Source organism: Homo sapiens, chromosome 7, assembly GCF_000001405.40.
Source record: "Homo sapiens chromosome 7, GRCh38.p14 Primary Assembly".
Classification (NCBI taxonomy): domain Eukaryota; kingdom Metazoa; phylum Chordata; class Mammalia; order Primates; family Hominidae; genus Homo; species Homo sapiens.
Window position 1 is genome coordinate 98,299,224 of NC_000007.14, and position 26,999 is coordinate 98,326,222.

At 49.4% G+C, this 26,999-nt stretch overlaps 2 protein-coding genes across 12 annotated transcripts in view, besides 5 other annotated features; one reads left to right on the forward strand and one right to left on the reverse strand.

The window, feature by feature from the left end:
- Window positions 1-24,207, forward strand: part of BRI3 (brain protein I3) — a 41,745-nt gene extending 17,538 nt beyond the window's left edge. For 2 of the 11 annotated variants that reach the window (XR_007059997.1, XR_007060000.1), the window contains exons 3-5: window positions 7,260-7,364; window positions 8,292-9,173; window positions 9,852-11,220. Coding sequence is in view for 6 of the 11 variants with exons in the window: in XM_017011931.3 (XP_016867420.1) it covers window positions 7,260-7,364; window positions 23,035-23,112 (183 nt within the window). In the remaining 5 variants the exon portion in view is untranslated. Of the gene's footprint in view, window positions 1-7,259; window positions 11,221-23,034 lie in introns of those variants that run through there. The other 9 variants (XR_007059999.1, XM_017011933.3, XR_007059998.1 and 6 more) reach the window with 6 other exon arrangements.
- Window positions 1-26,999, reverse strand: part of BAIAP2L1 (BAR/IMD domain containing adaptor protein 2 like 1) — a 109,441-nt gene that overhangs the window by 7,574 nt on the left and 74,868 nt on the right. The window contains exons 4-12 of the mRNA NM_018842.5: window positions 21,014-21,075; window positions 20,835-20,906; window positions 17,996-18,133; window positions 16,237-16,389; window positions 12,874-13,041; window positions 11,222-11,369; window positions 8,466-8,673; window positions 7,216-7,293; window positions 4,973-5,153 (exon numbers count right to left, since the gene is read on the reverse strand). Of these exons, the coding sequence (NP_061330.2) occupies window positions 4,973-5,153; window positions 7,216-7,293; window positions 8,466-8,673; window positions 11,222-11,369; window positions 12,874-13,041; window positions 16,237-16,389; window positions 17,996-18,133; window positions 20,835-20,906; window positions 21,014-21,075 (1,208 nt within the window). The remainder of the gene's footprint in view (window positions 1-4,972; window positions 5,154-7,215; window positions 7,294-8,465; window positions 8,674-11,221; window positions 11,370-12,873; window positions 13,042-16,236; window positions 16,390-17,995; window positions 18,134-20,834; window positions 20,907-21,013; window positions 21,076-26,999) is intronic.
- Window positions 6,621-7,121: an enhancer, noted in NCBI's record as "H3K4me1 hESC enhancer chr7:97935156-97935656 (GRCh37/hg19 assembly coordinates)". NCBI's record gives its function as "activates a minimal SCP1, AML or CMV promoter by ChIP-STARR-seq in primed H9 embryonic stem cells {active_cell/tissue: H9 hESC(primed)}" and the evidence as "EXISTENCE:reporter gene assay evidence [ECO:0000049][PMID:30033119]".
- Window positions 7,122-7,622: an enhancer, noted in NCBI's record as "H3K4me1 hESC enhancer chr7:97935657-97936157 (GRCh37/hg19 assembly coordinates)". NCBI's record gives its function as "activates a minimal SCP1, AML or CMV promoter by ChIP-STARR-seq in primed H9 embryonic stem cells {active_cell/tissue: H9 hESC(primed)}" and the evidence as "EXISTENCE:reporter gene assay evidence [ECO:0000049][PMID:30033119]".
- Window positions 13,635-13,782: a silencer, noted in NCBI's record as "fragment chr7:97942170-97942317 (GRCh37/hg19 assembly coordinates)". NCBI's record gives its function as "represses an EF-1alpha promoter that drives an FKBP-Casp9 reporter gene in an ReSE screen in K562 erythroleukemia cells {active_cell/tissue: K562}" and the evidence as "EXISTENCE:reporter gene assay evidence [ECO:0000049][PMID:32094911]".
- Window positions 18,390-18,890: an enhancer, noted in NCBI's record as "H3K4me1 hESC enhancer chr7:97946925-97947425 (GRCh37/hg19 assembly coordinates)". NCBI's record gives its function as "activates a minimal SCP1, AML or CMV promoter by ChIP-STARR-seq in naive H9 embryonic stem cells {active_cell/tissue: H9 hESC(naive)}" and the evidence as "EXISTENCE:reporter gene assay evidence [ECO:0000049][PMID:30033119]".
- Window positions 24,374-24,668: a silencer, noted in NCBI's record as "tiled region #688; K562 Repressive non-DNase unmatched - State 20:ReprD". NCBI's record gives its function as "represses a minimal TATA promoter and a strong SV40 promoter by Sharpr-MPRA in K562 cells {active_cell/tissue: K562}" and the evidence as "EXISTENCE:reporter gene assay evidence [ECO:0000049][PMID:27701403]".

Genomic DNA, 26,999 nt, shown 5'->3' on the forward strand with positions numbered 1-26,999 from the left:
GGCCAGGCTGGTCTCAAACTCTTGACATCAGGTGATCCACCTGCCTCGGCCTCCCAAGGTGCTGGGATTACAGGTGTGAGCCACCACGCCTGACTGGTTTTTTAGTTAATTTTCTATATAGACGAGGTCCCACTATATTGCCCAGGCTGATCTGGAACTCCTAGGCTCAAATGATCCTCCCGCCTCGGCCTCCCAAAGTGCTGGGATTACAGGTGTGAGCCACCGTGCCCGGCAGGCTGCCATCTTTTGAGCCTCAGCCATGGTACCTGCTTCTTGACCACCACGTTATGGATCAAGCTTATTTTTATATATAGAGAGAGATGGGTCCTTTCTCTGTCGCTCAGGCTGGACTTGAGTTCCTGGGCTCAAGTGATTCTACCACCTTGGCCTTCCAAGTAGCAGGGATCACAGGTGTGAGCCACCGTGCCCAGCTAGAGCAAGTTTTTAAATGGAACACTGTACTATTTTGTATGATCTATTCCTAACTGTCCAATGTGGCAACCACTAGCTGTATATGGCTACTTAAAATAAAATTTGCCGGGCGCAGTGACTCACGCCTATATTCCCAGCACTTTGGGAGGCTGAGGCGGGAGGATCACCTGAGATCAGGAGTTCGAGACCAGCCTGGCCAACATGGTGAAACCCCGTATCTACTAAAAATACAAAAATTAGCTGGGTGTGGTGGCATGCACCTGTAGTCCCAGCTACTTAGGAGGCTGAGGCGGGAGAATTGCTTGAGCCCGGGAAGTGGAGGTTGCTGTGAACCAAGATCATGCCACTGCACTCCAGCCTGGGCGACAGAGCAAGACTCCGTCTCATAAATAAATAAATAAACAAACAAACAAATGTAAACGTCTAGTTCCTTCGTTGCACCATCCGTTTTTCAAGTGCTCTGCTGCCCTGTGTGCCCTGTGGCTGCTGGACTGGGCAGGGAACATTTCCATCTGTGCTGCTCGTCTCTGACACACACATGCTTGATCCATGATCCCTGCTGGTGAGGAGGCTGTGAGGCCAGGAGGCCCAGAACACACAGCCATTCCCCCTGCTCCCTGCTCCCGCCCTTGGAGCAGCACCAATGCGTCTGTAGGCTGTTTCCCACAGCTGCGCTCCCGGAACTCCTGACTGGGATTGGTCTGGATGAAACGTGGTCACTTGTCTAACAGGAGTGCTGTCTACAGAGGCTGGATGCGGGTGACAGTTGCAGTCCCTCCCCGCAATGCTTTTGCAGTCTGCATAGGATGTTAGAATAACAGCATGCAGATGACCGCGCCATGTCTTATCAGGAAAGCGTACTGATGTGGAGGCCAAGAAGCTGCTGGCTGAGATTTCAGAACTGGGTTTCTAACCTGCCGTGGGCCTTGGACAGCGGCTGCCATTCTTCTGTGCCTCCCTTTCTCCATTTCACGAGGCCCCGCTATCCCTCTACCTCCCCAGGAGGTCCCAGCACAGGCACTGCTCAGGAAGCACCACCGTGAGGTGCGAAGGGTGTGAAGGTACGAAAGACAGGAGGGCACCACAGGCTGGCGGCACCACTCCCCTCGCAGGCCAGCCAGAAGCCAGGCAGCAGTGTGGAGGCTCATCCTGCCTCTCTGGCTGGTGCCCGACCCCAGCTCTTGAGCCCCCCAAGTCACCGCAACGCCCAGGCCTTGTGTTTTTGCCGAAGCTCGTGCCTCAGAGCCTGGCTCCGACGCTTTCCTCCTAGAAGCCTCCCCTGATGCGTCCCAGGAACCCTGGCCTCTCCCCTTGTCCTCACCCCATGCATCGAGCGCTCCCTGGACTCCACCCCTGCGTGGGTCTCATTCCTCTTTGTGTCCTGAGGGCTTGGCTCTAGGCCGCCCAGTAGAGGCCGGCTGGATGAATGCTGATGGGACGGTCTCATCTCTGTCCACAAAACCCCTCCCCCACAGCCATACCCTCACTGCCATGTGACTGTGTTGACAGAAGTCTGCTGGCCTCAGAGGTCTGCGGCCCAGGAAATCTCAGCTGCCATCAGTGATAAACATGACCTCCCTGTGGGCGTCACCTCCACCCCTGTGCTGGATGGGCCTTCTCATCGATTTCAGTGATCATGAAGTTAATCAGCAGTCAGCACTCAAACACGTGCAGAATCAATGACAACTGAAATGATTAGAATCCGCATAAGGAGGGCATTCTCATGAGGTATCTGGGGCTTTTGAATGTTCTTGGATGAAACCAGAAATGAAAGGCTGCTAAAATGAAAGCCTGAAAGCCTTCTAGCTTTTTTTTTTTGGTATATATATATATATATATTTTAAGTGGAGACGGGATTTCACCGTGTTAGCCAGGATGGTTTTGATCTCCTGACCTCGTGATCCGCCCACTTCGGACTCCCAAAGTGCTGGGATTACAGGCGTGAGCCACCGTGCCCGGCCAAGCCTTCTAGCTTTCAAGACAGAAAGGGGGAACCTGAAGATGATGGTGTGTGTGTGTGTGCACACGCGCGTCTGTGTGTGTGGTGGGGGTTAGAGGGAGGGTGGTCTTGGGGAAGTGAGCTTTGGCAGGTGCGGCCTGTGGAGGCAGCCGGGGACTGGATGACTGGGAATCTCTCCCGTGGAGGGGACAGCCTGAAGCTCGCGGGTGTGAGCTGAGAATACCAGCTCAGGTGGGAAGGGTGGTGGTGGTGTCCACATGGGCCAGCTGCGCTGGTGGAGGCTGCAGGGCACCAGGTCACCCCCTGCAGGCAGCCCCAGCTCAGCCCAACCCTCCAGGTCAGGGCCCTCGGGGACAGTGGTGTGCTTAAAGCTCTGCTGCCCGAGGAAGTGGGAAGCCGGTAAGAGGCGTGCACCGTGCGCTGGCAGTCTCCCGACACTGACAGAATGTCATGATCCAGCCAACGAAGAGGTTTAAGAATGAAGCCAGGTCACCTTTCCACTCCCCAGTGCTAAGTAAGGAGGAATCTGTCATTACTGAGTACACTGATACTTACAACCAGGCTTCTTCCATTTATCCAATTCCCTGCAGTAAGAATGGCGGCGACAGTACTTTCTTCACCAAGCTTTATCCACACGATAAATACGCTGACAATGACACGTTTTCATTTTCTAACACTGAAGACTATCCAGGGTTGGCCAAAGTGTCAGTGCTCTCACTTACAATGCCAGAGCTGTGATTTTTGGGGGCAAGATTCTTTTACCTTAAAAGGCATTATCCAACCTCAATAAAGCAGCAGGCTAGGCGAACATCAACAGCTACTAACATCACAAAAAGAGATGGACGTCCACACGTGCCTCCTCACTGGTGAAATGCTCCAGCAAAACACAACAGTCAAACAAGCAAAACAGCAACAGACTCTGAGCAGGGCCTGAGGTCTAACTACCAATTTACAGAAATACAGGAGACACGGGGGAACGCAGAAAGGACACCAACAGCAAAATCCAGATGGGGGACACCCTCCAGGACAAATGACTGGTTCTTCTACAAAGAGACTGCTAAGGACAAGAGGCAGAGGGGGGACCTGTAGCTAGAAAAGGCCTCACGAGCCCTATCCACCAATTATAATGTATGGAGCTGATTTGGATCCAGATTCAAACAACTACACTGTAAACCATTTTTCTTTTTTTATGAGACAGGGTCTCTGTCATCCAGGCTGGCATGCAGTGGTATGATCACAGTTCACAGCAGCCTCGAACTTCTGGGTTCAGGCTATCCTCCCACCACAGCCTCCTGAACAGCTGGGACTACAGACATGTGCCACCGTACCTGGCTAATTTTTTATATTTTTTGTCTACATAGGGTTTTGCTATGTTGCCAGTTTGGTCTAAAACTCCTGGGCTCAAGTGATCCTCCTGCCTTGGCCTCCCAAAGTGTTGGAATTACACAGACATGAGCCATTGCACCTGGCTTCAAAGACATTTTGAATGAAGTTTCAAAAGCTAGCATTCCTAAACCAAATCATGCCAATGCAGTCTACAATGAGGCAGGTCTACGTTCCCAGACTCCTCAAGGCTCACGCGTAGGTCTGGGGCAGGCACATCTTAGAAGCACATCCGTTTCATATCATCAAGACACTCCACACCTGGGCACCACTCACAGCTGAACTAAGGCCCCGGACACAAGGTATAGGGGCCTGGCTCCTTCGCCCCAAAGCAAGACAGCTCCTGGAGCGAGGGGTGCAGACACCACCACCCAGCCTCCTCCCCTTCACCCACAGGTCTCACACCAGGGCGCACTAACCTCAGCCAACCCAGCCCGGGAGTGATGTCCAGCCGCGCTGCTCCCCACCACGCCATCACCTCACCTTGTGTTATTCTCTGCATGGCTTCTAGTGTCAGTGTTTTTGTTTATTTTTTATTGTCTGCTTCCTATCACTAGAACAGAAGTTCTGAAGAGGCAGGCAGAGTCCGGCCTTGTTCTCCTCTAGCTGGAGAGCCCACACCAGGGCCTCTGTGCGGTGGCGGGAATGGATGAACTGGTTCCGGGAGCCCAGGACCTCCATGCTGGGCCCCCAGAGGCACGTTAGGGTTATCTTTCAGGGTTATCGTTAACCCTAAACGCCGTGCCTAGAAGGTTTAGGGTTAAAGATAACATCCACAGTGCCTGGGAGTAAAGACTTTCTGAAGAAAGATGAAGTTACCACTTTTAATGTAAGCCTCTCTTCAGAAAATAAGAAAATGAAAGAAAATGGTGATTCAATGGCTAGAAGACTGCAGCCAGGCAGGAAAGATAAGAAACCTAATAAAATCTAGCAAACTAGAGGCGACTGTGTGTAAACTCTCACTGACAAGATAGAGTCCACATGAAAGAAGGGCTGAAGTCAAGGAGGTGAAAGGCTGCATGACAAAGAAGGGAATCTAGAGGATCAAAGGCAGCAAGTCCCCTCCTCCCTCCTCCCCGGGGACACCACTCTCCCCCTGGGGACAGAGCAGAGCAAGGCGGTCACCACAGGACCTGCGCCTCCCAGTCGGGGATGGCGAGTCCAGGACCCAGGACGCCCTGCTGCGGCTTTACTCACAGGAGCCGCGGTCTCGGGCTTGGACGCTGGGGCCTTAAAGGTGGATGTCGTCCTGGCCGAATCTGCTCTCCTGTCGGCAGCTGCCCCCATGGACAAGCATTCCAAGTAGTCGGGTGGGGGGATGACAACACTGCTATTCTCAGACAAGTTCACGGTGCTGATGCTTCTCACTGGTGTGGGGCTCAAACCCAAAAAGGACACAGCACGTGTTAGATAATGTCTCACCACCAAACCCCAAACATCCTCTGTGTCCCTGACCAAGGACAACAGTAATAGTACATCACCAATCAAAACCTGATCTTGATCTCACACACACAGACACACACAGTACATATATCAATACAAAACACTGTATTTTTTAAATTTTTTTGCGACAGAGTCTCACTCTGTCACCCAGGCTGGAGTGCAATGACATGATGTCAGCTCACTGCAACCTCTGCCTTCTAGGTTTAAGTGATTCTTCTGCTTCAGCCTCCTGAGTAGCTGGGATTACAGGTGCACGCCAGTGTGCCCAGCTAATTTTTTGTATTTTTAGTTGAGATGGGGTTTCACCATATTGGCCAGGCTGGTCTTGAACTCCTGACCTCAGCTGGGATTACAGCATGAGCCACCACACCCGGCCTAAAACACTAATGTTTTTAGTGGTTTCTAAACATATCCTCACAAGAAATTTTTTTTTTTTTTTTTGAGATGGGGTTTCCCTCTTATTGTCCAGGGTGGAGTGCAGTGGCGCGATCTTGGCTCACTGCAACATCCGCCTCCCTGGTTCAAGTGATTCTCCTGCCTCAGCCTCCCAAGTAGCCGGGATTACAGGCGCCTGCCACCACGCCCAGCTAATTTTTTTGTTTTTTGTTTTTTTTTTTTTTTTTTTTTTTAGTAGAGACGGGGTTTCATTATGTTGGCCAGGCTAGTCTTGAACTCTTGATCTCAGGTGATCTGCCCGCCTCGGCCTCCCAAAGTGCTGGGATTACAGGCATGAGCCCCTGCGCCTGGCCAAAAAATTATTTAAAAGACATGACAAAAGGAGAGGAAACCTTTTAAATTAGGGGCTGGCTCTTGATTGATTTAATCTAAGGAAAGAAATTGGAGACTAGCAAAAGCTGGAGTGAGCAATGAGCTAAGAGTTAAAAAAAAAAAAAATGTAAACACTTGAAATTTTAACATCCTAAAAGTGTTACTCAGTTTTTGTTCCCCAGCACAATGGCATTTTAGCTCTTCTGCTAGGGATGAAGATTGCAGACAGCATCAGACCCTGGGGAATGCAACGTCGGACCTGGAGGCCTTCTACCTGGCTAGCTGGATGGGTTATGGGGGTTCTGTGAACTTCGATCCTCCCGCCTCAGCCTCCAGAGTAGATGGGACAATGGGCATATGCCACTATGCCCTGGCTAATTGTTTATTTTTTTTGTAGAGATGGGGATCTTGCTATGTTGCGCAGGCTGGTCCTGAACTTGTGGCCTCAAGTAATCCTCCTGCCTCCATCTCCCAAAGTGCTGGGATTACAGGCACAAGCCACCGTGCCCGGCCAGTTTCCTCATTTTTTAAAGTGGGGGCCCACCTCATGGGTCTGCTGTGAGAATTAAGTGAAAAAATCAATGCAAAGTCCTTTGGACAGTCTCTAGGCAATAACTACTGTTAGTATCTGATCTGGAATACGGATTTGGGGGTTTTCGGCATGGAGGTGCTCAGCAAAGCCCATCAGTGTATTTCAAGCCATGGGAGTGGATGAGATGGCCCAGCACAGGCAGGAAGGATGGACCCAGGGTGACTCCCAAGAACACTGATGTTTAATTGATGGGCAGAAGAGGGGTGCAAAGAGCTGGTGAGGCAGAAGACAAACAGAGCACAGGTCAAGCAGCCGGGGCCAGAGAACATTCCAGAAAAAGCATACAACAGCGTTAAGGGCTGTAAGATAAGAACGGTAAGATAAGTGTAAGATAAGGACGGAAAACACATGGCTTGGGTTTAGCGACCAGGAGGGGCAGGGCACAGGGAGGGAGTTTCAGAGGGCTGCAGGACTGCGAGGAGTAGGTGGCCTGGGCTGGGTCTCCTCACAGCAGCAAAGCTCGGGGACAACAGAAATCACGGCAGACAGCACTGTGAGCCGCGGTCTCATCTCTGACTAGTCCACGAGAGCTGAGGCTTAGGGCAGGGCCTGCGACACAGCTAGATGGTGGTGTGTTACAGAAACGACAAGGCAGGGGTTTCTGTCACCGGGAGAGCTCAGCCACGTTCAGGGCTACCTTGGCGTGGGCACGGTCACTGCTTCTGTCTCATTTTCTTCCAGCAACTTCGTGTACGACGACGGGAACCAACCCCTCCTACCGGCAAAGAGGGAGAAAAGACCCTATCAGCAGTAGACATGTGGACGGCAACCTCCCTGAACAACCTGGTGAGAGCTCAGGGCAGACAGGTCCACTGCTCCAGAAACGCCCATGTGTGGAGGAAATGAAATTAAGGCTTTTAATAGGTAAATATGGACTTTCACATACACTGAACAATGTGTATTGTTAACAATTTTTTTTTAATAGAGACAGGGTCTCGCTCTGTTGCCCAGGCTGGAGTGCAGTGGTGCGATCATAGCTCACAGCAGCCTCGAACTCATGGGCTCAAGCAATCCCCCTGCCTCAGCATCCGAGTAGCTGTGACTAGAAGTGTGCACCACCATGCCTAGCTAAAAAGCAATATATGTTGTATGTATAACATTAATTTGATTTGGATTACCCCTTTTTTTTTCCATATTGGTTTTATTTAATACATCTGAACAATCTGTCTAGAAAACTGACAAGCTAGTTACAGGAAGGCTTGTGCACATAATTATGGCTGAAATTAAGAGGATTGCATTCAAACTACCTACGTGCTAAACCTTAACAAAGTATATCTGATATGCAGATTATCTTCAATAAATCAAATGCTAATTTTATTTATTTTTTTGAGACAGAGTCTTGCTCTGTCACCCAAGGCTGGAGTGCAATGGCGAGATCTCGGCTCACTGCAACCTGCGCCTCCCAGGTTCAATCCTGCCTCAGCCTCCCGAGTAGCTGGGATTACAGGCGCCTGCCACCACGCCTGGCTAATTTTTGTATTTTTCGTAGAGATGGGGTTTCACCATGTTGGCCAGGCTGGTCTGGAACTCCTAACCTCAGGTGATCTGCCCGCCTTAGCCTCCCAAAGTGCTGGGATTACAAGCATGAGCCACTGCACTGGCCAAATGCTAAATTTTTTTTAAAAACAAAAGAATGTTTAAACTACTTTCAGACAGGTGACTTCATACGCTCTAATAACTATGCATGCACCAAATGTATCTCTACATGCACAGACATACAGAAAATAGCCTGGGATCGAATAACTTCAGTTAACTAAACTAGAACTAAACCATAAACTTAACTTTGGCTAAAATGTGAGCATGTCCACGAAGACAGTTTGCAGCTTGGCTGCTCTGGAAGGGAGGGGCCGTCTGGTGCCCTGCGGGGACCATCACGCCCAGACTTACGCCTTGGACACGTCGTGTTCTCCATAGAGCCAGCCATCCTTCTCCTCGGGGATGAGCAGCGTGATGACATCTCCCTGTGCAAAGCTGAGTAAGGTCTTGTTGGAGCCCGCAGTGTGCGGGAAGATGGTCTTCACTTTCTGCTTCTTCATCATGTTCAGTCCCGTTGCAACCGAAACTGATCGCTGTAAACTGGGATCTTCGGAAGTACCTGTTGGAGGGAGTGTAGCAGTAATGGCTTTTCAAAGCATGAGAATCAATAGGCACATTCCAATGAGCAAACCCCAGGAATCCACCTGTTCTCATCTTGCCAACAATGCTCCTTCCACGGAAACTGACCCTGTCCTATTTCCTCGCTTTGATCATTGCCCAGAAGGAACAGGGACTGTTGAGAAACAGAGGCAGCGTGCAGCCTGAAGGCATGCACCGTGCAGAAGAGGATCCCTGCGGCTGCGGGCTCTTTTCCAGGCCCAAGGACAAGGCGGTGTGTGCCGGGTTGATCTGCACTGCTTTAGCCAGGATGGCTCTTCTTAGAGAGACAAACCGCTCCAACGCCAAACTGCCCTCGCAATTCCAATCGCAAAGGCAGGCTAGGGCCACAGTTCAAACCCAACTGCCAATGTCCACAAAGAAAAGAAGAAAGCTGGAAATGCAGTTGGTCTTGCCATGCTGGCCGCTCAGCTTCTCACCCCCAGGCCTAAGAAGGACAAGGTGAGGATGAGTTCCATTTACAGAGTCCTCACCAGGTGCCAGTCACGATCTCAATGTCTCACAGCTGCCATCCCGCCAGGCTCCCAGGAGGAAGGTGCTGCTATTTATTATCCACAGGACAGACCCCACAGCTGGCAAGTGGCTGGGCCAGGAACCAGCTAGGGCAGGTTTGTCCCATACTCTCTACCCATGAGCACGAGGCTGTGCTGTTCATGTCTCCATTCAAACACAGGCTGATATTTCCACTCCAGGGGAAAAAAGGTAGAAAAAAATATATATATATGTATGTATATACATTTGAGACAGAGTCTCACTCTGTTGCCCAGGCTGGAGTGCAGTGGCAGGATCACAGCTCACTGTAGTCTGGACTTCCCAGGCTTAAAGGATCCTCCCTCCTCAGCCTCCTAAGTAGCTGGGACTACAGGCACACGCCGCCATGCCAGGTTCATTTTTAAATTTTTTTGTAGAGACAGTGTCTCGCTATGTTGCCCAGCCTGGTCTTGACCTCCTGGCCTCAAGTGATCCTCCCAGCTTGGCCTCCCAAAGTGCTGGGATTACAGGTTTGAGCCACTGCTTCTGGCCGTTTTTTTTTTCCATTCAAATTTTCCCAGGCTAGTAATACAACAAGCATCTTTAATTTAAAACAATGCAAGATCTCTTTCTGCTTTATTCTTGCAGATTCTTCATGATTACAACATAAACCTGCGCCCCCTTAACCTGCCACTCTCTACTTCGCTGGTGTTGAACCCACCAGCAGTTTTCTTTCTTTTTTGAGACAGAGTCTCGCTCTGTCGCCCAGGCTGGAGTGCAGTGGTGTGATCTCGGCTCACTGCAACCTCTACCTCCTGGCTGGGTTCAAGCAATTCTCTTGCCTCAGCCTCCTGAACAGCTGGAATTACAGGCGCGTGCCACCATGCTCGGCTAATTTTTGTATTTTTAGTAGAGACAGGGTTTCACCATATTGGCCAGGCTGGTCTCGAACTCCTGACATCGAGATCCACCTACCTTGGCCTCCCAAAGTGCTGGGATTACAGGCATGAGTCACCGCGCCCAATCCTCCACCAGCAATTTTCATTCTGCTTTTACCAATAAGAACCAGAGTCATCTGAATCACTGGGATGCACAGAGTATTACATACTTTAACTGTGTATTTTAGTTAACTGACAGGACTTCCTTCAAAGGCAAATGCCTGCAGACCATCATCTTCCTCTACTGGGCCATCCTAGTCATCATTCTGGAAAACTCTGTTCTTTTGCCCAATAGCTTCACACGCTGTGGTCCAGGGCTCTCTCTCACAAACAGCTTGACTGCCGCAACCTTCACACCATGGGGGCCTGTGAGACACCCCACGTGGATGGGTTGGGGCCATGGCACAGGTCTCGAGGGTCCTGGGTGCTAAAGACTGTGCAGAAGGACGGGGTCTGACCAGTGAAGCAGCCGGCAACATCTGCAGACAGTCACTGGCTCCAACTTTTGTTTTTGTCACTGTGTCACCCAGGCTGGAGTGCAGTGGTGCGACCTCAGCTCATTGCAACCTCCGCCTCCTGGGTTCAAGTGATTCTCCTGCCTCAGCCTCCCGAGTAGCTGGGATTACAGGCAGGCACCACCACGCCTGGCTAATTTTTTGTATTTTTAGTAGCGATGGGGTTTCATCATGTTGGCCAGGCTGGTCTCAAACAACTGACCTCAGGTGATCCACCTGCCTCGGCCTCCCAAAGGGCTGGGATTACAGGCGTGAGCCACCGCGCCTGGCCTCCATTTATTTGTAAATAGATAATTCTCAACAGTATGTTTACTCTGGATAAACATCAGTCAGTGCGTAGAACTGGTAAATGTCAGAGAAATGTATCACTTATCAGAGCGTCTCACAGTCTAGTCCTGTATTTCTTCTGAACTCACGCTCTGCAAAGCCAGGGCTGAATGTATCTACCATACCTGCTTGTTTACCTCCAAACCTTGCAATACATTTATACAAAATATTTATTTCACAGCTTATCTTAAAACAAATGTAAAAGGTATCTTCAAATAAATCAGACTGAATCTCTTACCTGTTGAATTATTTACCCTTTGTGAATTCGGGGCAGCCGTGGCTGGGTTATTAAACATATCGATCAAGGGACTGGTATATGCTCTGCCTGAAGGAGCGGGGGGCATCTTTGGTGAGCATTTAGAAAGGGTGTCGTAATCTTTCCTAACCTGTGAAAAATTCTTTATTAGTCCAATATTAGTATAGTGCAGAACCGGAATTACACAGATTCCCAAGGCTGTTTTTTTTTTTTAAATAATAGGCTATTTATTTATTTATTTTGAGACAGAGTCTCGCTGTGTTGCCCAGGCTGGAGTACAGTGGCACGATCTCAGCTCACTGCAACCTCCGCCTCCCAGTTTCAAGTGATTCTTGTGCCTCAGCCTCTTGAGTAGCTGGATAACAGGCACGCACTACCACATCTGGCTATTTTTTGTATTTTTAGTAGAGATGAGGTTTCACCATGTTAGCCAGGCTGGTCTCAAACTTCTGACCTCAAGTGATCTGCCCGCCTAGGCCTCCCAAAGTGCTGGGATTACAGGTGTGAGCCACCATGACTGGCCACATTTCAGGGGGTTTGAGATGGGCAGAAAGAGTGGATCCATGTGTTCAAAGTACCTGCTGCATCCCAATCTCCACAGAGCCCAGGTTCAAAGATCAGCAAACTACAAATGTGTGAATTCATTACTGTGAATACTTTGATGCCTATTTTTTTTCCTGAAGTGCCTTACGTTGTGATGAATGCCATCAGAGTGTGTCTAATTTATTCTGAGACACCTATACTTCCTTACTTGGGAGTAAACTTAGTTGGAATGATTACAAATAAAAACAGTAAGTATGGTTGGGTGCAGTGGCTCACGCCTGTAACCCCAGCACTTTGGGAGGCCGAGGTGGGCGGATCACGAGGTCAGGAGATCGTGACCATCCTGGCTAACATGGTGAAACCCGGTTTCCACTAAAAATACAAAAAAATTAGCCAGGCATGGTGGCGGGCGCCTGTAGTCCCAGCTACTTGGAAGGCTGAGGCAGAATGGCGTGAACCCAGGAGACGGAGCCTACAGTGAGCCGAGATTGCGCCATTGCACTCCAGCCTGAGTGACAGAGCAAGACTGTGTCTCAAAAACAAAAAAAATAAAAAAAAAACAGTAAGGATAAAATTTCCAAAACAAAGATAATAGCGCCAAACATAGTATAAAACATGTGCCCAACTTATGGTGGCTCATGCCTGTAATCCCAGCACTTTGGGAGGCCGAGGCAGACAGATCACGAGGTCAGGAGTTTGAGACCAGCCTGACCAACATGGCAAAACCCTGTCTCTACTAATAATACAAAAATTAGCCAGGCATGGTGGTGCGCCCCAGTAATCCCAGCTACTGAGGAGGCTGAGGCAGGAGAATCACTTGAACCCGGGAGGTGGAGGTTGCAGTGAGCCGAGATCACTCCACTGTACTCCAGCCTGGGCGACAGAGCAAGAAAGACTCCACCTTAACAACAACAAAAAACAAACATGTGCCCAGCTACCTTCGCCCCTAAAGGTAAGGGGATAGAGGTGCGAAAAGGTGGTCCTGGAAGTAATAAAGGGGGACCTGTGATTCCCACCAACACAGGCAAATTTGGCCCAGATCAAGTTAGGAAACACACGATTGAAATCTGGAAGAGAAAACTGGCTCCTACCACATTGCTTCTCTCGATCATGGGTGAAGCCTGAGGAGTTCCAGACACGGGGGTAGAGGCTGGGGTCTTTATTTCTTCGATCATATTCATGATTTTCTCTGGCACTTTGATGGCATCAACACAGGTCTCCTGCCACCGAGGCAGCTTGGAATTCAGTAGTTCTGCAGACTGCAAAGCCAAAAGAAGAAGACTAAAGACAAAGAAGATTGTCTGAAGAGCTGAGAAAAATGACATCACGTCATATCGCTGATAACAGATTACTGGCTTAGCACCAGGAGTGTGGGGGCCCTGGGTTAAACTCGGTGAGCACTTTAAGCACCTAGAGGATCAGCTGTGTCTCACCGGCTGAGAGGGGCAAAGGCTCTGACTCAAAAGGAAATTTCCTGATCCCTCAGTGTGAATACAGAGCATGGGACTAATACGGGGATGGTAAATGGTTAAGAGCAAGAACAGAAACTCAAAGGGAGGGAGGGAGCAATCTGTATGAATCCCGTTTTCCAGGTGGCCCCAGAAACGCCAACCATCACTTTCTCCCTCCCACTCCTACTAAAAGCAGCACCTCCAACACAGGCCACGGGCCCCGTAGTTGACTCTGACCGATTCAGACATTAGAGAAGTGAATCAGACACTGTCCTGAGAGTCTGTCTATGGGGAAGAGGGACTGGGTGAGTGGTGGGCAGTGCTGAGGGACGCCCCCACCACAGGCCAAACAAGGTTTTGCAGAGCAGACCTGACCAGCAGGGGTGAGAACCCGCAACCCTGGAGGCAGAGTGCCCCTCCAGCACCCACAAGCCTGGCTCTGCTCCTGACAACTGGATTCTCAGAGGCCCCCCAAGCGCTTCCAGTGAGCACCTTTTCTGAAGAGCACTCTGGTTGGGAAAGGGGAGGCAGGAGCCTGTCCTGCGGCTGTGTGCATGGCAGTCACACTGCTTTTACTCAGCCTCTGAGTTTATCAAGAGTGGTGGGGGGCTGATGTCAGTCCTGGGGAAGGGCAAAGACCCCCTCACACCACCCCTGTCCCCAAATGCCACCCCACCCCCAACTGTCACCCCACCCCCAACTGTCACCCTGACACTCTGCAGCACCGTGGACCAGCTGCTTGGGCCTGCTTCATCCCAACTCCACAGAAAGGACTGAGGCGCTTTAGCTGAATTAAGGGAAGCCACAAAACCAGTTTTCAGATACTCGAAGAAACTTCCAGCATAGAAACGAGCAGATTTGGTCTGCGTCACTCTAGAAAGCATTACTGGGACCGATGGTTAAGTCTAAGAAAGACTCTGCTGATAACTGGAGCTCCCTGAAAAGGTGCTAGGCTGCCTCATGACACGGTGGGGATATCACGCAGGAAGAGAACCTCAAGGTCACCTCTGTCCTCTCCAGCCTGCGACCCTGGTGCCACAGGATGCCCTCACTCTGGGAAGAGAAGATTCTAAAGTGAACTCTACATTCCCGAAACTAGTACAGACATGCTGTTGACAAAAGTGATCACCTAATACAGCAACTATTTCCTTTGCTGTAACCATTTTCTTCTGCTTTTTTGAGAGAGGATTTTGGCTCTGTCACCCAGGCTGGAGTGCACTGGCACAATCACAGCTCACTGCAACCTCGAACTCCTGGGCTCAAACAATCCTTCCACCTCAGCCTCCTGAGTAGCTGGGGCCACAGATGCACATCACCACAACTGGCTAATTAAAACTTTTTTTTTTTTTTTTTGGTAGAGATAGGGTCTCGCTATGCTGCCCAGGCTGGTCTGGAACTCCTGGGCTCAAGTGATCCTCCTGCCTTGGGCTCCCAAAGGGCTGGGATTATAGGCATGAGCCACTGTGCCTGGCCTGCTGTACTAATTTTAAATCTTATTTAGGGAGCTGAATACTCCTTTTTCTTCCTTTTTTTTTTTTTTTTTTTTTGAGACAGAGTCTTGCTCTGTTGCCCAGGCTGAAGTGCAGTGGTGTGATCTGGGCTCACTGCAACCTCAGCCTCCTGGGTTCAAACAATTCTCCTGCCTCAGCCTCCTGAGTAGCTGGGATTACAGGTGCTCACCACATGTGATTAATTTTTGTATTTTTAGTAGAGACAGGGTTTCACCATGTTGGCCAGGCTGGTCTCAAACTCCTGACCTCAAGTGATTCACCCACTTTGGTCTCCCAAAGTGCTGGGATTACAGGCGTGAGCCACCATGCGCAGTCCTGAATATTCCTTAAAGTTGTAAAAAGTTTATAGAAAATACAACATTTGCATACATACAAGGCCAAAGTATTTTTCCTTTAAAACAAAGACAAAGCTGACTTATATTCAAGCTCTTGCAAAGCTTCTCCTATATTGGAACACTCTCTAACTTTACTATGAACAACAATGAATTTCTGACCTCAACCAGTGCTAGTTTTGGATGTTTACAAAGGCCCAACAGAGTTCATAATTTAAAACAAAGGAAAGGAAATGTGACATGTGTTGCATCATGATTCCTGGGGGTTCGAACCTCACAGCTGTGTGTGTTGGAAGGAGGGTGATGAGGTCATTCAGTTGAATAAACCAGGAACCAATACCACCAAGAGGAATGAACGCATCACTGAGCCCAGCTGTCCTGATGCGCGTGAATGGGGGCCCGTGGGCTGGGGCAGAGCTGCCCGTGACCCCCGGACACGGACCCATGAAGGGAGCATCTCAAATCGCCCAGGTGGGGTAGACCTGGGCCCGCTGGGACTCACCAGCAGCCATGGTGAAGACACTGATGCTGAGGACACATCAGAAAGGGCCTGGGGAAAGCTGACTCGCAGGTGAGAAGAGCAAACATGTGCTATTTTTCAATGATGAAGCATTATTTTATGAAGGACTTTAAATATGGATGTATTATTAATTTATTAAACATTATACATGGACGTTTGACCATTTCAGCTGTATTTCTATAAGTTTATATGTTCAAGTTGGCCAAACACAGTTTCTCTGGAATCTTTTCATTGGCAAAATGGCCCACTGCTTTATATTGGGCATGTGTGGAAGGTGAGTGGCGTGCATGTGTGTATATCTCTGTACGTATGGACTGATTGAGACAGGGTCCCGCTCTGTTGCTCAGGTTGGAGTGCAGTGGCACAATCATGGCTCACTGCAGCCTCAACTTCCCAGGCTGAAGGGATCCTCCCACCTCAGCCTCCTGAGTAGCTGGGACTACAGGCACATGCTACCATGCCTGGCTAGTTTTTTTTTTATTATTTTTTATAGAGACAGAGTTTTGCCATGTTGCCCAGGCCCACCTCAGCCTCCCAAAGTGCTGGGATTACAGGCGTGGGCCACGGCCCAGCCTTCTGGGGCATTTAAATATGAAATAAAGTTATTAATACGCTCAAGGCAATTTGCCACCACACCCACCTGTAAGTGATAATAATGTATGTGGTTTGCAAAGCCACAGTGCTTATCAACCAGAAAGCAGAAGCGCCTCTTCTCTTCAAGCAGAGCCTCTTTGCAACCATCTGCAATGAATTTCTGGATTTCACTCTGACGAGAAGTAACGGTCTCCACATACTAAAAAAAAAAAAATAATAATAATAATAATTATATAAGCATGACATGAGCATCAGATAGCGTGCAGCCTGACGTTTATCTTCTGCCATCTTTACACCTGCTTTATTTGAATAATAGAGTAAATACATGAGAGGAAAGAATGCTGTAACCTGACCTAAGTAGATACCATCGTTCTCCTTGAGGTCCCTGACTCGTGTGCAGAGAGAAGTTGCCCAAGGGCTTGACATTCCCACGGGGCAATTTGCACAAATATTACTTTGTACTTCAGAGATATGATCGTGTCCTACTGGAAAGCACCACGGGCTTTGGAACCAGAAAGTTCCAGGTTCAAACCCAGTTCCAAATGCCAACAATAGGTGATATGCTTTGGCTGTGTCCCCACCCAAATCTCATCTTGAATTGTAGCTCCCGTAATTCCTATGTGTTTGGGGAGGGACCTGGTGGGAGGTAATTGAATCATGGGGGCAGGTCTTTCCCATGCCATTCTTGTGATAGTGAATAAGTCTCACAAGATCTGATGGCTTCATAAAGGGAGTTTCCCTGCACAAGCTCTCCTTTGCCTGCTGCCATCCATGTAAGACGTGACTTGCTCCTCCTTCCCTTCCACCATGATTGTGAGGCCTCCCCGGCCATGTGGAACTGTGAGTCCATTAAATCTCTTTCTTTTGTAAATTGCCCAGTCTCGGGGTATGTCTTTACCAGCAGCATGAAAATGGAGTAATAAAATATGATTTAACCTAAGCCTCATTTTCCCCATCTGTACAATGGGAATAGTAACACTGATCATGGAGAGTCCCTTCTTCTTTCAGAGCCAGGATAAAAAGCCCATGTTTTGGCAGGAGGTCACTGATTAATTATACTTAACTCAGGGAAACTCTACAGCCTTCAGCTCTCAGTCAAAATGCTTATTTTTAAAAACTGATAGATTATATATTTATAGGGCACATGTGATAATGATCAAAGCAGGGTCCTTGGGTGGCCATCACCTCAAATTCTTATTGTTTCTATGTGTTGGGGACATTCCAAGACCTCTCTTCTAACTATTTTGAAATAATGCATCGCTGTTAACTATAGTCACCCTACTCTGCTATTGGACACTAGAACTTATTTCTTTTATCCAATTGTATGTTTGGACCCATTAACCAACCTCTCCTTCATCCACTCCCCAGTCAACACAATGACCATCCTCAGCTATCTAGAGAATGACAGGTAACCATCATTCTACTCCCCACTTCCATGAGATCAACTTCAAAACTTTTTTTTTTTTTTGAGATGGAGTCTCATTCTGTCACCCAGGCTGGAGTGCAGTGGCATAATCTCGGCTCACTGCAACCTCTGCCTCCCAAGTTCAAGCAATTCTCCTGCCTCAGCCTCCGAGTAGCTGTGACTACAGGTACCTGCCATCACCCCAGCTAGTTTTTGTAGAGGCAAGGTTTCACCACATTGGCCAGGCTGGTCTCGAACTCCTGACCTCATATGATCCTACTGCCTCGGCCTCCCAAAGTGCTGGGATTACAGGCGTGAGCCACCGCACCCGGCTAACCTCCTCTTAAACTGTGCAAATTGTCAACAACAAAAGAAAACAAGATATTGTTGAAAAGCTCACCTCAATTTCTTTGTGTTCATATTTGAGTGCGTTTCGGCTTCCTTGGCTTTTCCTTCTGATCTTCTTCAACTCAGCTTGGGATTTCTCCAAAGACTCTAATTTATTCTTGTGTTCTGTTTGGTATCTTTTTAGAGTTGCCTGTAAGTTAAATGGCTGTGCTTATTTTACTGTGGCACCACACGAATTGTCACACAGTTTGCCTTTACTCACACTTCCACTGTGTGTGGCTCAACGGGGCCCTGACACCCTCACTTCACACCATCCTCACACTGGCTGGGGCCCCCACACCCACACCAGTTCACACCATCCTCCTGCTGGCCGGGGTCCCATGCCCACACTTCGCACCATCCTCATGCTGACCAGGGCCCTCATCCCTCAGTTCACACCGTCTGCATGCTGGCTGGGACCCTCACCCTGCAGTTCACACCATCCACACACTGGCTGGGACCCTCACTCATTTCACACCATCCTTACACTGGCTGGGACCATCACCCCGCAGTTCACACCATCTGCATGTTGGCTGGGGACGCTCACCACACAGTTCACATCATCCTCACACTGGCCGGGGCCCTCGCTCATTTCACACCATCTTTACGCTGGCTGGGACTGTCACCCCGTAGTTCACACCATCTGCATGATGGCTGGGACCCTCACTCTGCAGTTCACACCATCTGCATGCTGGCTGGGACCCTCACCCCACAGTTCACATCATCCTCACACTGGCCGGGGCCCTCACTCATTTCACACCATCCTTACGCTGGCTGGGACCCTCACCCCGCAGCTCACACCATCTGCATGATGGCTGGGACCCTTACTCTGCAACTCACACCATCTGCATGCTGGCTGGGACCCTCAACCCGCAGTTCACACCATCCACACACTGGTTAGAGCCCTCACCCCTCAGTTCACATTGCCCCCTTCATGCAACTTTAATGTCTTGGCTTTGTTCTAAAGGTTACTGTTTAAATGAGGAGCCCCCGACCAGAAGCCAAGTCTCTAAGGACATCTTCTCTTTCTTTTATTCCTTCTTTCCTCAAAGGCTTTTTGATGCTGGGTGGTTAACTTTCTTCTGCCACCCAAAGTCTCAAAGTTCCATCCAAAGCACTTAGCCACCAAGGTGGTTGCAGCAAGCTGAGATCGCGCCACTGCACTCTCTGCCTCCCGGGTTCAAGTGATTCTTGTGCCTCAGCCTCTCCAGTAGCTGGGATTACAGGCGCACACAACCACGCCCGGCTGTATTTTTAGTAGAGACCAGGTTTCACCATGTCAGCCAGGCTGGTCTCGAACTCCTGACCTTGGATCCACCCGCCTTGGCCTCCCAAAGTGCTGGGATTACAGGCGTGAGCCACCACGCCCAGTGAACACAGGGTCTTAAACGGACCCGCGTCAGAATTCAAATCCTTGTTTTCCCTATAATCTGTGAAGTGCAGATAAGAAGGATGTCTGGCCGGCATGGTGGCTCACGCCTCTAATCCCAGCACTTTAGGAGGCCGAGGCAGGTGCACCACGAGGTCAGAAGTTTGAGACCAGCCTGGCTAAAATGGTGAAACCCCGTCTCTACTAAAAAATACAAAAATTAGCCGGGTGCAGTGGTGGGTGCCTGTAATCCCAGCTAATTGGGAGGCTGAGGTAGGAGAATCGCTGGAACCCAGGAGGCGGAGGTTGCAGTGAGCCCCGAGATTGCGCCACTGCACTCCAGCCTAGGCAACAGAGCAGGACTCCATCTCAAAAAAAAAAAAAAAAAGAATGGTGTCTATGTTTTGGAGTTTCTGAAGGCATAGCAATTAGATAACGTATGTAAATCACTTGGCATGAAATGCACCTTAGCAGCTGTCCGGGTCCTGTGGCCTCCTGCCGGGAGGGTGCAGCCAGGCAGCAGTCCTCACGAGGACGACAGGGGAGGGATGATTCCAGGGCAACTCGCACACTCACTGCCACATGGGGGTCTGGGTGAGCAGGAAGGGGACTTTGGGTGGCAGGAGAAAGTTAAGTACTCTATAGAGCAAGGGAAGATGGCAAGAGCCCTCAATACCGGGTCTGTAGGGCCACCCTGAAGGGGACCTGGATAAACCTGCTGAAATGGACAAAAGTGGATAGAGAAGGGGCGCCATGCAGGAGCGGTCTCTGCAGATGGGCCAGGGCACACCGGGAGCCCCGGACGGTGCTCTCCCGCACACCACCCACAGCCTGAAGTGCTGCTGGCTTAGGAAGTGTTATGTCTGCATCAGCTGCAGCGACAGAAGCACAAATGTCCTACAGCGTGAATGTATTCTGTGAAGACAATGCTTTCTGGAAGCAGTGTGATTTCCTGCAATACTTTTTCCTATGCCTTTTTTTTTTTTTTTTGAGATGGAGTCTTGCTCTGTCGCCCAGGCTGGAGTGCAGTGGCGCAATCTTGGCTCACTGCAACCTCCGCCTCCCCGGTTCAAGCCATTCTCCTGCCTCATCCTCCCGAGTAGCTGGGATGACAGGCATGCACCACCATGCTCAGCTAATTTTTTTTTGTATTTTGAGTAGAGATGGGGTTTCACTATGTTGGCCAGGCTGGTCTTGAACTACTGACCTCAAGTGATCCGCCTGCCTTGGCCTCCCAAAGTGCTGGGATTACAGGCATGAGCCACCGCACCTGGCCCCTATGCTTTCTAATAAGATCCCAAGTGTTAGCGAAAACCGGCCCACACAGCCCAAAGAGAGCTTGTCGGTTTCATGCATCTGGGCATCATCAACACGGAGCTTCTCTCCTGTCTGCTGCTGATGAGTCAACAGTGGGAACGAGTTCTCCCCAGGCTGGGAGGTCAGGCAGCCCAAGGCTGGGGCTGGAGGAAAACCATGCACTTACGTTCATATATTTCACGTCAAGTTCTATCTTCTTCTCCAGCTCATGGATAATCTCTTTGTGGAATTTTTTAAACTGTTAACAAAAGGAAATAAATTCATACCAGGTTTGAGATTTTAAGCAAAATAAGTTCTAAAACCTGAAATGAGTGTATTTTGTAAATAGAAACACAGATCACGTACATTTTCATCAAGACTCTCGTTGAGTTTCTTGTGGGTACTTGAAATCTCTATGAGGACATGTCCTGGGAACAAAACCAGATATGTTAGCGGGAAGCCATTGCGTATTTTTTTGTTTTGAAATGGAGTTTTTGCTCTGTCGCCCAGGCTGGAGTGCAAAGGCACGATCTTGGCCCGCTGCAACCTCCGCCTCCCGGGTTCAAACTATTCTCCTGCCTCAGCCTCCCAAATAGCTGGATTACAGGTGTGCATCACCATGCCTGGCTAACTTTTTGCATTTTTAGTAGAGACAGGGTTTCATCGTGTTGGCCAGGCTGGTCTTGAACTCCTAACCTCAGGTGATCAACTGCCTTGGCCTCTCAAAGTTCTGGGATTACAGGTGTGAGCCGCCGCGCCAGGCCCATTGCACAGTTTTGTAAAGTATTAGGAAAAGTGAAACAGAACAGGGAAACACAGAAATACACTGTCCTCAGGGTCTCTAAGCATCATCCCTGAGACACATCAGGAGCACAACAGGGTCCCCACAGTGGCTTCCAGGGGGACACAGCTGAGAGCAAACAGCTTCTACAACATAATTAATCAGACAAATGCAAACTCTGTTCAAATTCACATGAGTCTTTCTGTTCTGTCTTTTGTTTTTTGAGACAGGGTCTGGCTCTGTCACGCAGGCTGGAGTGCAGTGGCACGACCTTGGCTCACTGCAGCCTCCACCTCCTGGGTTCAAGTTATCCTTCCACCTCAGCCTCCCGAGTAGCTGGGACTACAGGCGTGCACCACCACACTCAGCTATTTTTTTGGGACATTTTGTGGGGAGGGTTTTTCACCATGTTGCCCAGGTTGGTCTCGAACTCCTGACCTCAAGTGATCCGCACACCTCAGCCTCCCAAAGTGCTGGGATGACAGGTGTGAGCCACTGTACCTGGCCCACGTGGCCCTTTCTATATGCACTTTTTCCCTAAGCCAAGTTCTATATATCTGATTCAAATTTTGAAATTGTCTCACAAATGATTACTTCGGTCATCACAGTAGCTAACTCTAGGAATAAAAAATGATTTATTTTTATCGAATCCCCAGAGTAATCTGATTATCTGTCAGGCACGAGAGATAAAGGCTATTTCTTTTTTCTCACGTTAGTTCTTACAATGTTTTGGAAAATACTAACGCCAGGGGAACCCGCAGCAGGAAGAGTGCTCAGCCCTGCCTCTGCTGGGAATACACCAGCCCCTGAAACCAAGCACAGTCACATGATGGGCAGGATGCTCCAGGACAGAGAAGCCTCACCGCCGAGGGCAGCAATCACGCCCCCGGGTTTGCAATCATATCTCTGCAGTGAGTGGCAGTGCGCCAGCTCTCTGCCACCTTTCTACAGGTGACATCTGATAAAGGTGAACAAGGGCCTCTCTCTGCCAACTTATCTGCAGGAACCAAACGGGTTTCCTAGGGTCTGACACCTAAGAAATGGAGAAACACATAGACTCATCTGGAACCACCGTTACCACCACCATCAAACAATGCCGACCAACAGCAAGATGTGCCGGCGGACCATCCTACAGCTCAGCGGCCAGATAAAAATGAATTCCAGGCCGGGTGTGGTGGCTCACGCCTGTCATCCTAGCACTTTTGGGAGGCTGAGGTGGGAGTATCACGAGGTAAGGAGTTCGAGACCATCCTGGCCAACACGGTGAAACCCCGTCTCTATTAAAAATACAAAAATTAGCTGGGCATGATGGCACGTGCCTGTAATCCCAGCTACTTGGGAGGCTGAGGTGGGAGAACTGCTTGAACCTGGGAGGCAGAGGATGCAGTGAGCCGAGATAGCGCCACTGCACTCCAGCCTGGGTGACAGAGTGAGACCCTGTCTCCCCGCCCCCCAAAAAAGGAATTCTAGTGGGGAACTGAGAGGCTGCAGGGGAGGAATCGGAATGAGGACTGTGGTAGAATATGGGGAGAGAGAGAAAGCACAGACTGGACTATGGCCTCGGCTATGATCACCATACAAATGACCCTATCATGTCCTGTTCTAGGTACATCTGAAGACATCTGAGTCTGACACTGGCCACCCAGGCTTCCCTTGTCCCAGCTCAGGATTCAACCCTTGCTGAACACGACCACGCAGACGTCCCATTGGGCACACCTCATCCTCGACATGTCTCAAAGTGACCTCTCTGGCTGCCCTGCATTCTCTAATTCCAGCTCTCAGCTGCCAGCCAGCCAAGGATCAACTTCTCGCCCATGTGTAATACCTGACAATCCCTTGGGGATAGGAGGCCATCATCGGAGCCACCTGTAGGGTGCAGCCATGTCCCTTCCTAAGCTCTGTGGTCTCTTCCCTGCCCAGGAGAGAAGGCATGGGGCATGGCGTGTGAAGTCACCAAGACATGTTCACCAGGTGATCTGTTCCACCAGAGATGGCGGAGGATTCTCCCATCCACCCCCAGCACTCACGTCCCACCACGTGGGCTTTCGAGGAGGTCCTCTCTCATGCCTGCCCAACCCCAATGCCTGCTTCCATCCCTCATCCTCTCTCTGGACTCCCAGCTTGTTCTTTCCCAGATCACCTTCCTCACAGATGCCAGGGATCTTTCCAAAATGCAGGCGTAACATGTCGCTCCCCTGCTCCCGCCATGGTGTTCCAGGGAAACCAGCTTCCGAGCTGTACTTCAGAGCCCTCTGCAAACAGTGCTACCTAGACAAGGTGGGGTCAGAGGCTCTCAGATAAGCAGAACTTGCAGGGCTTGTGACAGGTATATAACCTAGTCCTTAAGCCCTGTGGGATTTTACAGCGCTCTGACGGAGTAACTCGATGGCTAAACACGGGGAGTAAAGACAGAACCATCCCAGCACTCAGGGCTCCACCCTCCGAGTAAGCGAGCTTCCCACTCCACATCCTTAGCAACGCTGGCTTCATCTTCCAGAACGGGGCATGAGAAAACCGACAGACCAGAATTCTTCACAAAAGCTGCCTTCACACAGCCAAGAGCATAATTCCATTAATATGCCATTTTATAGCCCCTCAGTCATTTCAGATACAAACTCAGTTACTTTCACATCTATTTTAAACCCACAAACAATTCCTCATTGGGGATGAAATATAAACAACAACAAAACCCGCTCCAGTTATTTAGAAAATCAGACACTCTATTCTTGGCAAAGGAGATCTACTTAAAATACATAAATAAATAAACATCTAAAAATAATGTGGCTCAAAGCATTCGGTGATTTGAGCTAGAGGAAACGCATTCACATTTTTTCCCTCATACTGTTCTCTTTCATGAACTTTATTTCCACAACCTTATATAATGTGGATCTCTGGGAAGCATGGTGCCAAAACCAAGGTGTGTGCTAGGGTGGACGCCAACACCGTTGAACCTGGTGCTCTGGCCTGGCCGGGCCTCTGGGCACGCTCCATGCTCCTGCCCGTGGCTTCCCGCAGCATGGCGGAGAGGCGCAGTGAAGCAGCTCTTTCACTCTGCGGGCAGGCAGGCAACACCTGGCCTTGTTATTCCTGTCCCTCACTGCTCCTGGAATTCAGATGCCGACCTCACAGCAGCTGGCCGCCGCGGAGTCAGCGGTCACAGAAAGGATTAACACACATCTTGGCTGCGATTCTGCAAGTAGCCGAAAGAGTATCTTGAAGCGGAAGATGAAAACACCCTTTATGTTCAATCTGCAGAAGTTTCATCTTAAATAGAGCAAGTGTTACTTTATGTTTAAAATGCGATGCCACATTGGTTTGTTTGCTCTTAGTTCGGTAACCTACTTTTTCAGAAATTACATTTGAAAAGGGGGAAAAAAAAAACCCGGAGGGTGGGGCGAAGCAGGCACAGCCTGGACTCAGAAGAAGCAAAGCTAAGCATGCGCCCCAATAAGAAACACACCACTGTGCTGTGCACACTGGGGCGCCTGCTTCCTTTTTCCCCCGGTTACGTTTGGAGTCACCCTTTTGGGAAGAAACTCAGCGCCGTCATTACAGTACTGTGATTCAGTCTGAATAAGTGGCAATATACACGTATTTCAAAAGCAGGAACTCAACATAACTCGAAGACATTTTCTGCCATCAATTTTTCCTCAATATTCGCAGAAATAATTCACACAGAGTGTTAGAGCTCTGCAAGAGCTTGTCTAGCAGGTTGTGGAAATCTCCAACAAAAAAAGAATGGTTAATGGTGGTATCACTCTGATTTTAGAAACTGTGAACAAATATGCCCAACATTTTGGACACTATTGTATAAAGAGATGCATTTAGCCAATAGGTGGTATGGAGTTAAAACAAAAAAAGGACAAAACTTCAGGAAGATTATTGGTATGAATGCCTAGAACATTTTCATTGGAAACACAGGGCCAGGTGTGGTAGCTCAAGTCCCAGCACTTTTTCGGGTTCAGGCGGGAGGATCGCTTGAGGCCAGGAGTTCAAGACCAGCCTGGGCAACACAGTGAGACCTCCACCATCTCTACAAAAAAAAATTAAAAATTAGCTGGGCTTCATGGAACATGCCTGTAGTCCCAGCTACTCAGGAGACAGAGCAAGACCCTGTCTCCAAAAAGAAAAATAATACAGTCATTGGACTATTAATATATTTTCTTCATCAGTTCACAGTACAAATTTAGAGGAACCAGATGGAGATTACTAATGCACCTGAACTGCATAGGACATGTAGGCATAAAGATTCTTTCCATTTATATCTGATCATGGATAATCAGAACCTGCTTCATTTCCAGAGAACGCAGAGCAACGCCTGAGTCACGCACTACTTCCTACACATCACTACAAGTGGAGTCAGACAGTAAAAAGTGGAAGCAGCCAATCTAGTACTGTTCTAAAGCTATGCTGCAGAGATTAAAGTAAAATTGATTAAAAATATCATTGGAGGCCAGGTGCAGTGGCTCACGCCTGTAATCCTAGCACTTTGGGAGGCGGAGGCAGGCAGATCACAAGGTCAGGAGTTCGAGACCAGCCTGGCCAATATGGTGAAACCCTGTCTCTACTCAAAATACAAAAATTAGCTGGGCATGGTGGCAGGTGCCTGTAGTCCCACCTACTAGAGAGGCTGAGGCAGGAGAACTGCAGAGGTGGCAGTGAGCCGAGATCAGGCCACTGCACTCCAGCCTGGGCAACAGAGCAAGACTCTAAAATAAATAAATAAATAATAATAATAATTGGAGGCCAGGTGTGGTGGCTCATGCCTGTAATCCCAGCACTTTAGGATGCTGGGGTGGGTGGATCACTTGAGGTCAGTAGTTTGAGACCAGCCTGGCCAACATGGGAAAACTCCATCTCTACTAAAAATACAAAAATTAGCCGGGCTTGGTGGCGCGTGCCTGTAGTCCTAGCTACTCAGGAGGCTGAGGTAGGAGAACTGCTTGAACTCAGGAGGCAGAGGTTGCAGTGAGCCAAGGTCGTGCTACTGCACTCCAGCCCGGGTGACAGAGCAAGACTTTGTCTCAAAAAATATATACATACAAAAAAAAAATAAAAATGTCATTGGAAAAAGGACTGAATTTTTCTGACAATTTTCCAAGTTTCAAATGGAATGAGGAGAAAACAGTGGAAGTAAAAGCAAACCGCTCCCCAGCACACACACGGGATGCATTAAACGAGCGTGAGCTCTGAAGATTAGAGTCACCACACTGAATCAGTGCGGAGGCAGATGAGCAACCACAAACGTGATCAAATTTGAAAGGCTCGGTCAGCATCTGAGAACCTGCAGTCCCTGGACGCAGTTGGAAGTGAGGTGCCCTCCTGGGGTCAGTACCAACACTGCACAAGCAGCGGGGTGCAATGGCTCACGTCCGTAATCACAGCTCCCAGTTTTGGGAGGCCAAGGCAAGAGGATTGCTTGAGCCCAGGGGATGGGCCACACAGTGAAACCCCATCTCTCCAAAAGATACAATGATAAGCTAGGTGTGGTGGTGTGTGCCTGTGGTCCCAGCTACTCGGGAGGCTGGGGCAGGAGGATCACTTGAGCCCAGGAGGCTGAGGTTACAGTGA